Consider the following 12,900-nt stretch of genomic DNA (forward strand, 5'->3'; position numbering starts at 1 on the left):
AGGTGTGGGGTGCTCTGTTTTCCATCAAACTTGCCCTAAGACTAAGGCTAATGGGGGCTGCATTACCTCGAGTATCACCAAGCAGGGAACAGCGGGACAAGAATGCTAGAGAGCCTTGTACTAAGAATTAAATGCTCCAGGCTAGAAGTCTCACACTGCACCTCTGCCCCCAGCCTCTTGGCCAGTACTAGCAACATCCCCTTCCCCACCACAGGGCAATGCATGAAGACAGGAGAATTTGATACATTACAAATTTCTACCCCATGGCATTTCATAAAAGAGAAAAAAATGCAAATACAAAAATGTTTTAATAGAATAGAATATATACATTTTTGGAATAAAGAACAATCCTCCAAAAAGGACAGCTGGTGGTCTTTCACCAATGGGCACATTTCTGTGACATTTTCTCTGTTTTTCCATTTTATCCTTGACCTATGAACATTTTATACAGATGGTCCAAAGAACACCATGTGGGGACCACTGCTCTAATCAGGTGATGAAAACGGCCCCAAGAACAGAGCACAGTCTCTTTAGCAAAGACCCAGCAGGGCCAGGGTGACCATGTTCTCACCATCAACGTGCAGACATCCACCTGCAGCATCCTCACATCCCAACATCAAACAGTGGCTCTTTATAGCTTGATTCTAATGCCCTTTGATCTTCATAATCATTGTAAAGTTCTCTGGCCCCAAGATCTAACATCGCCACTCTAGCTACATCCTGCAACTGTTCATCTCTCCTGCCTCCTCATCCCTCTAAACTTCTCTTCACAACCTCATGTTTCCTTCTTGCTTTACCTTCCTGCTCAGCCTGGACCTTACAGTCACCTTCTTCTTGTAATGTGCTCCTGAACTCGTTCTTCCCTGCCTTCAACCACACCCACCTGGAAAATCTCCATACCCCATTGATGACTTGCCTCGCAACTGCCCAAGGGCTGCTGAATGATACTGGAAAGAATCACAACATGGATCTGGTAGTTCCACTAAATAATCTCACCATCCAACTCTAGGATAGACTTCACTTCTGTTCAGCAATATTTTTAAGCATCACAAATAAATTCCAAACCATATTTGCTAGAACAACTGACTTTAAACCTCTTACATATCTCAAAGCCCCCCAAACCCATCCCTAGGGATTTCAGAGCCCAGAGTTGAGTTCTCTCAACTCACTTCCATCTCACCCCTAGATCACTGTACCTTGACCCTCTTCCTCTGCCTTTCCCATGTTATAAGGAGAAGCATCCTTCTCCTTTCCCAAGCTACCTTCTCCACTTGTGCCTCATTTGAGACCTCCCTTTATCACCCGTTCCCTTGGAACTCCCATGACTCACCACCTTCACTTGTCATTTCACTCATAAATATTTTGCACCATGTATGTGCCAGGCGTTTAACATAGAATCATGCTTAAGTCTCTACATGCTAACAAGAAAAACCTTGATTATCCCTGCTATGCCCTCAAGTCATTACCTTCCCCGCTCCTTTCCTGTGTTCCCAAACTTTGTTGATCTTCATCAATCCCTCTGATGCAGATGGCTCCGAAGTTTGCACCCTATTAGGTTGGTGCAAAAGTAATTGCGGATTTTGCCATTAAAAGTAATGGCAAAAATAGCAATTATTTTTGTACCAGCCTAGTAAATTTTCTCCTTCTACCAAACTTTGTCCCTGAGCCATCTCATCACCTATAACTACCTCCTCCATGCAGTTGATTCCCAGATCTCTATTATTCTACTGAAAGTCCGTTCCCCAACTTTCTCGGCTAGGATAACAGAAGCCCAATTAGAATTCATGATACCAGTTTCCCACCACCACCACCACCACCACCACCACCACCACCACCACCACCACCGTCGCCCTGCCATTGTTAGCAAAACCATCTCTTGAGTGGAGCTCAAAGATTTGTAATCTCCCACTCCCCAGAAAGATAACTTCAGACTCAGCCTAGAAGTAAAGTTCCTCCAGATATGGCCTCAACTACCCTCCAACCCATGTCCCCAGTGCATTCCTTTGATGCCCCCTTCAGTGGAGTTAAAATGGAGTGAGTGTTTTTCTTTTCACATACTCCTGGTGTTCTTCCATGAATACAATTTTCACCTCTTGAATATTTTCAATAATTCTCCATGCTACACACAGTGAAATTCAAGCTCCCCATCAGGACCCCAGTCTTCCCAAATGCTCTTTGCACTTTTCTGTCTCCATGCTTTCCCTTGGGTCATCCTCTTCTCTAATATAACCTTGTGTATTACTCTAGGTTCTCCAGAGAAAGAGCAGAGAGATAGAGGTAGAGCTATACACATAGAGAGAGACAGATTGATTAGTTGTAAGGGATGGCTCACATGGTTATGGAGGATAAGGAGTCCTGGAGTCTGCAGCCAGCAAGCTGGGGACCCAGGACAGCCAATGATATAGTTCCAACTCGAGTCCACATCTAAAGTCAGGAGAAGATTGATGTCCCAGCTCAAATATAATCAGGTAAAAAGAGCAAATTCTCTGTGACTTTACCTTTTTGTTTTGTTCAGGCCTTCAGTGGATTGGATGAGGCTCACCCACATTGGGGAGGACAATCTGCTTTATTCAGTCTACCAATTAAATGTTATCCTCATCCAGAATACCTCAGAGACACACCCAGAATAATGTGTAGCCAAATATTTGGGCACCCCACAGCCCAGTCAAATTGATACATAACACTAACTATCAGGTCTTGCTTCTACTCTCTCCCCATTACTGCATGGCCAAATCCTTCCCTTATTTCAAGGCTTAGTTCAAATGTTACCTCTTAACTAAGCCTTCCCTGCTAACCCCAAATATTAATAGAATTGGTGTCTCCCTTCTCTGATGTCTCAAAATACGTTGTGTGTTTCTCTTTTACTGTATTTATTACAAACTCCCTTATAAATCAAGACAGTGATTCCCAGACAAATTATCAAAAGAGTATAAAAGAAGTCTTCTTTGAGTGTGAAATATCTCATGGAATATAGCACATGGCCTCTTCATGAAGAATCTACTGGGAGAGAAGAAGACAAGCTGGAAGAGACCAGGGAAAGGGGGTTAGTACAAAGCACAATGAGGCTGGGCTCATACAGTGGCTCACACCTGTAATCCCAGCACTTTGGGAGGCCAAGCCCAATGGATCATGAGGTCAGGAGGTCGAGACCATCCTGGCTAACACGGTGAAACCCCGTCCCTACAAAAAATACAAAAATGTTAGCTAGGCATAGAGGCGGGCACCTGTAGTCCCAGCTACTCAAGAGGCTGAGGAAGGAGAATGGTGTGAACCCGTGAGGCAGAGCTTGCAGTGAGCCGAGATCGCACCACTGCACTCAAGCCTGGGTGACAGTGCAAGACTCCATCTCAAAAAAAAAAAAAAAAAAAGAAAGCACAATGAAATGTCAGTGGATGGGTGCCTATAATTTCTAAGGGAAATAGAATATAATCCAAGAATTTTATAGCCAGCTAAATTATTGCCCAATCAAAATAGGCAAAAGACATGATCACATGTTGAAGAACTTAAAGAACACAGTATTTCTGAGCTCTTTTAAAAAAAGTCTTCATAATAAAATTTAGTCAGCCAAGAAATTAAAAAATAAGCAACTCGTGAATTGAATGACCATGACAAAAGGCTAATTATGAGAGGTGAATCCATTTAAAAATAGGACTATTATTGCAGAACAGAAAGAGAAGGTGGTCAACCTTAACAACATAAAACAACCTAGAAATAACTAGTTTCCAGAGGTAAAGGGAGGGACTGTAGGAAGTAGAAGTGCTGATGCCCTTTATTAAGTCAATTAATCAGGTCTAAAATTGAAATGTGGTTTTAAATATATAACTTCTTGTTTATTTTCCTCCCTAACTACCTGAGGATCAACCACCATGATGAACGACACAGTAACTATCTGGACCAGGAAGTTCATGACCAATCGACCACTCCAGGGGAAACACATGGTCACCAATGTCCTTCACCCCGGAAAGGCAACAAAATGTACAAGACCACAATAGGTGTCATCTTCATATTAATCGTTGGACTCAGAACCCATGTTGGTGGTGGTTAAACAATGAGCTTTGGCATGCTATCTGTTTCTTTGAATTATGCAAAGAAAAATGAACTCAAACATAGACTTGCAAGACACAGATGGCATGAGAAGAAGATGACCTCAAGAAAACAGCAAAAGGAATGCAAGTGCAGAATGAAGTCCAGAGACTGCAAAGGCCAATGTCAGTGCTGGCAAAAAGCAAAAGGAGTAAAGATTTTGTAATGACTTTATATGCAGTGACTGTACAAATTTTTCCTGAGATGATCAGTCAACTGTAAAGACTTCTACATATATATAAAACATCTTAATATTTTTCATCATCTTGATTTCTTAGATGTTCTAGAAACTGATTTTTAGTGAGGAAAAACTACATTTATCTGAGTTGACCAGTTCCTTCAGTTTCACTTCTATTTCTTTTTCTTCTGATAAATTTACACAGCATTCAATTTGCTATTTCTTGTTTTTAAAATCTCATTTTGTGTGATCAGAAGTGTCTGTTCATGTCTCTAGCCATCTTTGTGCATAGCAAGGAATGCTGTTCACTTAATATTAGGTGGTTTATTTCTTGGGGTCATGAGATTTGGGGTGATTTCTCTCCCTTTTTGTACTTTTCTGTATTCATTAATTTTTTTGAGACAATGTCACCAATGTCCTTCATATTAATATTTGGGCTCAGAACCCATTTTGGTGGTGGTTAAACAATTGTCACCCACACTGCAGTGCAGTGGTACGATCTCAGCTCACCAAACCTCTGCCTCCCAGGCTTAAGCGATTCTCCTGCCTCAGCTTCCCCTGTAGCTGGCATTACGGGCGTGCACCACTACCGCCTGGCTAATTTTTATATTTTTAGTAGAGGTGGGGTTTCACCTTGTTGGCCAGGCTGGTCTTGAACTCCTGACCTCAAATGATCCACCCGCCTTGGCCTCCCAAAGTGCTAGGATTACAGGCATGAGCCACCGTGCCCAGCCTTTTCTGTATTAAATTTTTAAAAACGCAACATTTAAAATAATCGTCATTCTTTTTGAATCTACTTTGTATTATAGGTATCCAAATACTCACCTATTCTCTCTTACGTGATGACAAACTTGTTGAAATGTCATTTCATTTTGTGGCTCCAGCCCCAGGGATTCTGACTCTGATTCTAAAGGGTCTGCATGCAGAGTGAGCAAGCCACCTGGATGATTCTCTTGCAGGTGTTTTAAGGGCAGGAGTTTGAGACACCCTGATGCAAAAGAACGAATCCTCAAGGAAGTTGGCTGTACATGTATTTTCCTTCCTAGCACAGGAAACGACAGAAAGATTATCCAATCAGTACCACTCATAACACCTGATTATATATGTATGAGGAATTCAGAAATGGTTTGATCAAGGCCGAAGACCTAAAAAGAGGCTCTTCTCTTGGACACCAAGTCCCCATCTCATGTGTGGTTGAATTAGTAGAAACTGAGGATGATGCTTCTTCCTCCAGCATTGGTATCCCATGGTTTTTGTTCAGTAGATGAAGTATCTCCATCCCCCAATATCCCCAAGCTCTATCCCAGTTTCCTCACATACACTTTTTTTTTTTTTTGAGACAGAGTTACGCTCTGTCACCCAGGCTGGAGTACAGTGCAGTGGTGCAACCTCAGCTCACTGCAACCTCCACCTCCCAGGTTCAAGTGATTCTCCTGCCTCAGCCTCCTGAGTAGCTGCGACTATAGGCACCCACCACCATGCTTGGCTAATTTTTGTATTTTTAATAGAGACAGGGTTTCACCATGTTTGTCAGGATGGTCTTGATCTCTTGACCTCATGATCCACCTACCTTGGTTTCCCAAAGTGCTGGGATTACAGGTGTGAGCCACCACGCCTAGCCTGAGACTTTCAAGTAAAGCCACAATGGACCACAGAGCTTAGACATCAGGGCTAACATGGAATCTCTGTCATTAAATCTTGAGATCTTATTATCTTTGCTCAAAGAAAAAAATAATCACAATTGACATTTTGAGGAGAAGACATCTGAATGTAAACTTGATCTTAGAGGATATTAAGGAATTACTGGTAATTTGATTAGGAATGATAATGATCATATAAAAAATGCCCTCATGTTTTTAGAGGGAAAGTAAATTACGTAGGGGTGAATATCAGGATGCAATTACATAACTACTGTAAACTATTTTTTAAATACTTCAGAAAAACAAATGGAGTAAATATTGCAAACGTTAATAGTTTTTAAACCTATGTGATGGGCATATGATAGCTCATTAAACTAGTCTCTCTACTTTTATGTATATTGAAAATTTTTCATAATAATAACAAAAAAAAAAACCTTGGCCAGGCACAGCAGCTCATGCCTGTAATTCCGGCATTTTGGGAGGCCGAGGTGGATGGAGGACTGCTTGAGCCCAGGAGTTTGAGACCAGCCTAGGCAACATGGTGAATCCTCATCTCTACAAAAAATAGACAAATTAGTCAGGCACGGTGGTGTGCACCTGCAGTCCCAGCTACTCAGGAGGCTGAGGTGGGAGGATCACCTGAGCCCAGAAGGTCAAGGCTGCAGTGAGCCAAGATCATGCCACTGCACTCCAGTCTGGGCGACAGACCCTGTCTCAAACAAACAAACAAGCAAATCAAAACCCTCTTGGTCCCATTTCCCAAAAAAATGATTTTTTCGAGATCTTACCATCTCCTGGCTTGGTGCAGAGTACAGGAAATCAAGACAAAGTACAGCACACAAGGATTAAGGAGGGAGGGAAGTGTGGGGGAGGCTGACACTGTGGACTCTCCCAGCTCAGTTGACCCATGCACCTTGCTTCATGGAAGAAAGGAATGGAAGATGAATCGTGCCTTTCACACACAGTGACCTTCCTCACTAGTAAATGTGCCTCCAGAAGTGTCCAAGAACTCAGCGCCACAGCCAGGCTGGCTGCATGAGAATCACCTGCGAGCTTTTGCAAACATAGGCCCCTACTGGGTCCAAAGGTATTCATCTCTTGGAGAGGAGGAGAGAGGCAGAACAAGGAAAAGGATGGGAAGAAACCAGCCTTGTGCACAGGAGGATGCTGGGATTCCTCCTGCACGTTTAGCGCAATGCAGCCTATTTTACAAGGTCACAGAAGCTCAGAGAGGTAAACCTGCCCAGGTTCTCATAGTTTGTAACTGGCAAAACCTGCCCAAATCTCTGTCTCTAGAGATATTTCCACTTGCTTCAACTCTGGAGCTGTCTAAGTTGTAAAGACAACAGATTCCACTCATCACTCACTTTTGTTTGCAGATATTGCCTAAGGTCCCTTGTGAATATTTAGGTTAGGGCTGTTTTTTTGAGTTTTTTGTTTGTTTGTTTCTTTTTTTTTTTTTACAAAGCAATCTTGTGGAAAGAACCCAAAGTGGCTCCCCCATTTAAGACCCTGTAAACAGGGAGACGAGAGTCTGGAGTCATGGTCTGGTTTCCAAACCTTCCTTAGATTTCCCTGTGTGTAAAATCCAACAACAATCTTTGACAAATTGCCTCCCCTAGGGGAGAGATGGAGGAAGTGTTAACTTTGCTTTTTTTTTTTTTTTTTTTTTTTTCTGTTTTCAGACAGAGCCTCGCTCTGTCGCCCAGGCTGGAGTGCAGTGGTGCCATCTCGGCTCACTGCAACCTCTGCCTCCTGAGCTCAAATGATTCTTGTGCCTCAGCCTCCTGAGTAGCTGGGACTACAGGCAGATGCCACCACACCTGGCTAATTTTTGTATTTTTAGTAGAGATGGGGTTTCACATATTGGCCAGGCTGGTATCGAACTCCTGGCCTCAAGTGATCCACCCCCCTCAGCCTCTCAAAGTGCTAGGATTACAGTCATGAGCCACCATGCCCAGCCACTTTGATATTTTTTTTTAATAGACAGCTTCGAGGTCCAGTATGATTTCACAGATTAGGAAACATCACAGGCAAAGAAGAATACTTTGCATTCAAATAGCAGAATGTTTTCATTTTCAAAGAGCTCTCACCTGCCATCTAATCTTGTCTTCCTAGCAGTCCTGGGAGAGAAGCAGATGTGGTTTCCAATCCCACTTTCCAGAAGAGGAGACTGAGGCAGAGGCTTTGCAGATACACAGAGGACATGTGAGGACAGGTGAAGGTCATGAACATTGTCAGCCCCCTCCCCCAACTGGACATTCCCAGATCTGGTGGACTTCCAGCCAGAGGAGACAGAAGGACTGGATCATTTAACTCTGCCATGGGTGCCAGGACCCAATTTTTCCCTGGCTAACTCGGTCACCTCCTGTCTGGGATCTCCAACTACTACACATCCCACAAGTCTCAGCTAAAACAGCAATTCAACGGGGAACTTTTTTCTGAGGCTCCAGGATTGGGCCAGGCCCTCCTCATGGCTCTCTGCCCTTCCCCTACTGCAGAACTTAGCACCTGTATGTCACTATTGGTTCAAACATGTGCCTTTCGTATGCTCTCCACGTTATCTGCAGCATCTGCCAAGAATAATAATGAATGGTAAAACCTAATCTCTATTGAGTGTCGATGATGCACTTTTAACGTGACATCTTATTTAACCCTCACTATATCTGCAAGAGTAGAAGCTATTAATAGCCAATTTTCAGATAAGAAAATCAAAGCACAGTTTCTATAACTTACCCAAGCAGCTAGCTAGGAGGCAGCTCAATTTGAGCTCAGGGAATCAGATTCCAGAAACCATGTTCTCAATTACTACAGCAGATACCTCCCCAGAATCTAGTAGGTGGTTAATGAGTCTTTGTGGAATAAATGAACAGAAGGACAAGCAGTGGATGGATACATAGGTGGGTGGGTGGATAGATGGGTGGATGGAAAGATAGGTGGGTGGGCAGGTGGATGAATGAATGGGTGGTTGAGTTGGTGAAGGGATGGCTGAGTGGGTGGAGAAATGGATGAGTGGTTGAGGGGGTGGAGGGATAGATAAATGGGTGGACGGGTGGGTGGATAGATGGGTAGATGAGTGAATGGGTGGATAGATGCATGGATGAGTGGATGGATAGATGGGTTGGTGGGTGGGTAGGTGGATGATAGCTGGGTGCATAAGAGAGTGCATTGGATGTATAGATGGGTGGGTGGGCGGGTGGATAGGTGGGTAGGTGGGTGGATGGATGTATGCATGTCTGGATGGATGGATGGATGGATGGATGGATGGATGGAAGGAATGATGGATGGATGGACGGACAGATGAACAGATGGACTTGAGCATTTATTCAGGGTCCTCTAAAGAATTGAGTGATTTCCTAGGGTGTGTCATCACCTGCATGTGGGTGGGCAAGGGGGCTTGCCTCTGTAATACTCATGATTATGGGTAGTGCTCAGCCTTAGTCACCACTCTCAGAACACTTTATTGACTAGGAAAGTCAAAACTGGCATTGGCAACTAATGCAAATTACAGCTATAACTAACAGAAGATGTTGAGTGATGACAGCTGGGCAACCAATAATCAATAACTTGGCTGTGTCATGTTGCTGCCATGCTGGACAGGTAGAGCCATGGGTTCCCTAATCCCTCCATCACATTGAGGATGCTTATCAAGACTTCCCCAACCATGGGGACAAGGATCTTATCAAATACTTGCAGTTCACCCCAAAAGGCTCACCCTCTTCGTTCCACCTGCACATGACCTTCAGCTCAAAGACATTTCCAGTCATCCAGGTCAGCCCTTCTTCCAGCCTTTGAATTAACCCTGATGACTGCCTGCCCATTAGGTATCTCACCTTTCATCACACAGCCTTTTCCAAGGCTTTCCTTCAGTCCAGCCCTCACTAAACGCTGAAACTCTTGTTGACAAAATCCAGAACAAGCTGGCTGGGGGATACAGGTGGGAAGCAGGCTGTAGTAATGGGAAAAATTCTAAGCAATCTCGAACACAGAAAAGAAACTGAACAGGTAAGAGAGAGGCAGTCAAGAGAAGAAGTGTGAATTTTGCATAACTGAAGCTGAAGAAGATCAGGGGGCATGGCAGACCACAAGATAAATATGATATAGACTCCTTTTTAAAAAAGTATAAACACCCACCCTTTCCTACTGACAACTGTGCTTCAAATATTGCTAAGGTCTTTACTAAAGGCGACTCAGAAAAACAGGGTATTTTATGCAATACAGTAAGAAGGCCCATAGGCAAGCATGTTCCTGACACCACCTTCTAGGATAACCCCTGGGATTCTGGTTACGCCTGTCCTAAAGTTGCCTCTCACTCCTGCTGTTGGAGAACTACCATGAGAGAAGAACCATAGTGAAGTGGTTAAGAGTGTGCACCCAGTGACCAGCCAGATGGCTTCAAACCATCACCATCTAATACTGAGCAAGTTACATAATGTTCCTGAGCCTCAACTTTCTCATCTGTAAAATGGGTATGTCGTCATTCATTAATCAAATTCTAGGTAAGCATATACTAAACACCAGAGACACAAATGAGAATCAGGAACAGGCATGGCCCTGGTCCTCACGGTGACCACAGTCTTGAAGGGGAAGGATGACATGCACAGAAATAGGAAGCCGTAGCTGAGCTCATGACACCTGGTGTCATGAAAGCAGACAAGAGGGGGTTGCTGTGACTGAGTCAGTGTGGCCAGGCGTCCCTGAGGATGTAGTGACTCCACTGTCAGATGAGACTATGACCAGGTGAACAGGTAAGGAGAGGGAAAATCTTTCCAGGCAGAAAGAGCAGGATGTGCAAAGGCCCCGTGGCAGGAAAAGAGCAAAGGAAGTGCAAGAGCCTGAAAGAGGCCAGGGAGAACAAGTGAACATGTGGATAATCACAGCACCCACCTCATACAGGAGTTGCAAGAAATTGAGACACTGTCTGTAACAGATTCAGCAATGACTAAATAGAAACTATCTCCTAAAAGCACAGGATGAAGCTCCTTGGTGGTATTTCCCATGTGAGGCTGCCATGGACTCAGAGGCCAAGTTCAACCTGCCTGTAGACAACCTCCAAGCCAGCTGGACACACATACACCCTCAGGCTCAGGATACCCAGGACAGAGTCCTGGATGCTTGAAGTCATGATAAGTATCCAGAATGACACAGAATTCCAGCCAGGCATGGTGGCTTACACCTGTAATCCCAGCACTTTGGGAGGCCGAGGTGGATCACCTGAGGTCAGGAGTTTGAGACCAGCCTGGCCAACATGGTGAAACTCCCTCTCTACTAAAAATACAAAAAAATTAGCCGGGTATGGTTGTGGGTACCTGTAGTCCCAGCTACTCAGGAGGCTGAGGCAGGAGAATCGCTTGAACCTGGGAGGCAGAGACTGCAGTGAACCGAGATTGCACCACTGCACTCCAGCCTGGGCAGCAAAAGTGAAACTCCGTCTCAAAAAAGAAAGAAAGAAAAAAAGAATGACACAGAATTTGCTAAAGGGGGAGAAAAGGCTTTCTTCCAAAGCTGGGCCTGGTTTCTACAGAGAGTCTTTCAGATGAAAATTAAGCAGCTCTTTGCAAGCAGCTCTTTGCAAGCACCTCAGAGGAGAACCCCTCACCCTGATGAATCAGGCACACAGGCGGATCCAAGACAATTGGCTGCGCGCATGTGAACAAGCCTATGGTGGAAATGCAGTGCTTTGTTTGGGGTGGTTTAATCACCAGGAGGGAGAAGCTTCTAAAGCAGCATTCAGAGGTGGCTGTTGCCTGGGTTTTCTGGAAGGGGGAGGCGGTGAGGATGAGGGCTTCCATTTCATCTGCAGGCCCCTTGCAGAAGGAGCTGGGGAAAGCTTTGCAGCCATCTGCACACTGTTTGCCATCTTGTCTGGCTGGGCAGCCGAGCTCCAGATGGGGGCGGATGGGATAGCTCTTGCCACCGTATTTGGAGAGAGATGGCAGGGAAGTCAGCCCCCGTGAAGAAGACAGGAGCACACAGGTGCTAGGCAGTGCTGCCTAGGCCCCTGGGCTGAAGTGTCCAACCCCACAGCCTCTAGGTGTCACTAAAGCAGCCCGAGAGGATCTTCTCTGTCCATCTCCATCCTGGCACCTACAGACACTTGGAGAGAGTCCTTCACATGGGAACTCACAAATGCACACTGATAACCCCCACATGGAACTGTCATATGTAGCAAGTGAAAAGACAGGATGCCAGTTAAACTTGAATTTCAGATAAACAACATATCATTTTTTAGGGTAAGCAGGTCCCAAATATTGCATGGGATATATTTGCACCAAAAAAAAAAATGGTTAATGAGAAATTCAGGTTTAATTGGACTTCCTGCATTTTACCTGGCGAGCCTAACCTTGCATAAACACAACCCCAAGCTTGAAACTCACAGAGAAGCCACGGCCATGATCACACACGTGCACAAACCCATATGCCTTACAGAGTCAAGGGCTGTGATGAATGTCCCCACCCTTGCACACTTCCCTGTCCTCTGTCTGGGCTCAGAGTAAACAGAGGGTCACCTGGCATCCACGTCTAAGCTGGGCTTGGAGGTGTCCTAATGAAGCAGGATGCTGACCTGCACTTCCCCAGCTCAGTCGGGGCTGCAGCCAGGCCTAGCTTCCAGTCTCGGGCCTAGAACACACAGCACAGCCCCAGACCTTGGCAAGAAGGCTTGATCTCAAGGGCCACTGGTCCAGGACCTATTAGAAGCCCCACTTCTTTCCTGTGTTTCTGCTGCCATTGCCCCAGTCTCTGACCCTGACACTCAATCACTCTATAAACACAGCAGGTACTAGGGGTGGCTCTGGGCTCTGCACTAAAGACAATGCCCCTGGTAAAGCCACAGTCTAGCAATGACAGTCAACCACGTATCAGCAACGGCCCTGCCCCACACGTGCTGACTGCGCACAAGGCCGGCGCTGTGAACGTGCTCTCAACAGTGATCTCACTGAACCCTCATGGCAGCTCTAGGATGCAGACAGTAGCATCACATTATCCCCATTTTACTTT

At 45.0% G+C, this 12,900-nt stretch overlaps 1 protein-coding gene, 1 long non-coding RNA gene and 1 pseudogene across 2 annotated transcripts in view; 1 reads left to right on the forward strand and 2 right to left on the reverse strand.

Annotated features, from left to right (window-relative positions):
- The window catches only part of LOC112268076 (translation initiation factor IF-2-like), a 154,152-nt gene that overhangs the window by 119,680 nt on the left and 21,572 nt on the right, over nt 1-12,900 (reverse strand). The window lies entirely within an intron of this gene.
- LOC124900601 (uncharacterized) lies at nt 290-8,086 on the reverse strand. Its single transcript, XR_002957254.2, has 3 exons — nt 7,995-8,086; nt 5,087-5,303; nt 290-3,020 (listed from the first exon to the last, which is right to left on the reverse strand). It is a non-coding gene; the product is annotated as an uncharacterized LOC124900601 (long non-coding RNA).
- On the forward strand, nt 3,663-4,238 carry LOC105369359 (40S ribosomal protein S24-like; annotated as a pseudogene).

The sequence above is a fragment of the Homo sapiens genome, chromosome 11 (assembly GCF_000001405.40).
Source record: "Homo sapiens chromosome 11, GRCh38.p14 Primary Assembly".
Lineage (NCBI taxonomy): Eukaryota > Metazoa > Chordata > Mammalia > Primates > Hominidae > Homo > Homo sapiens.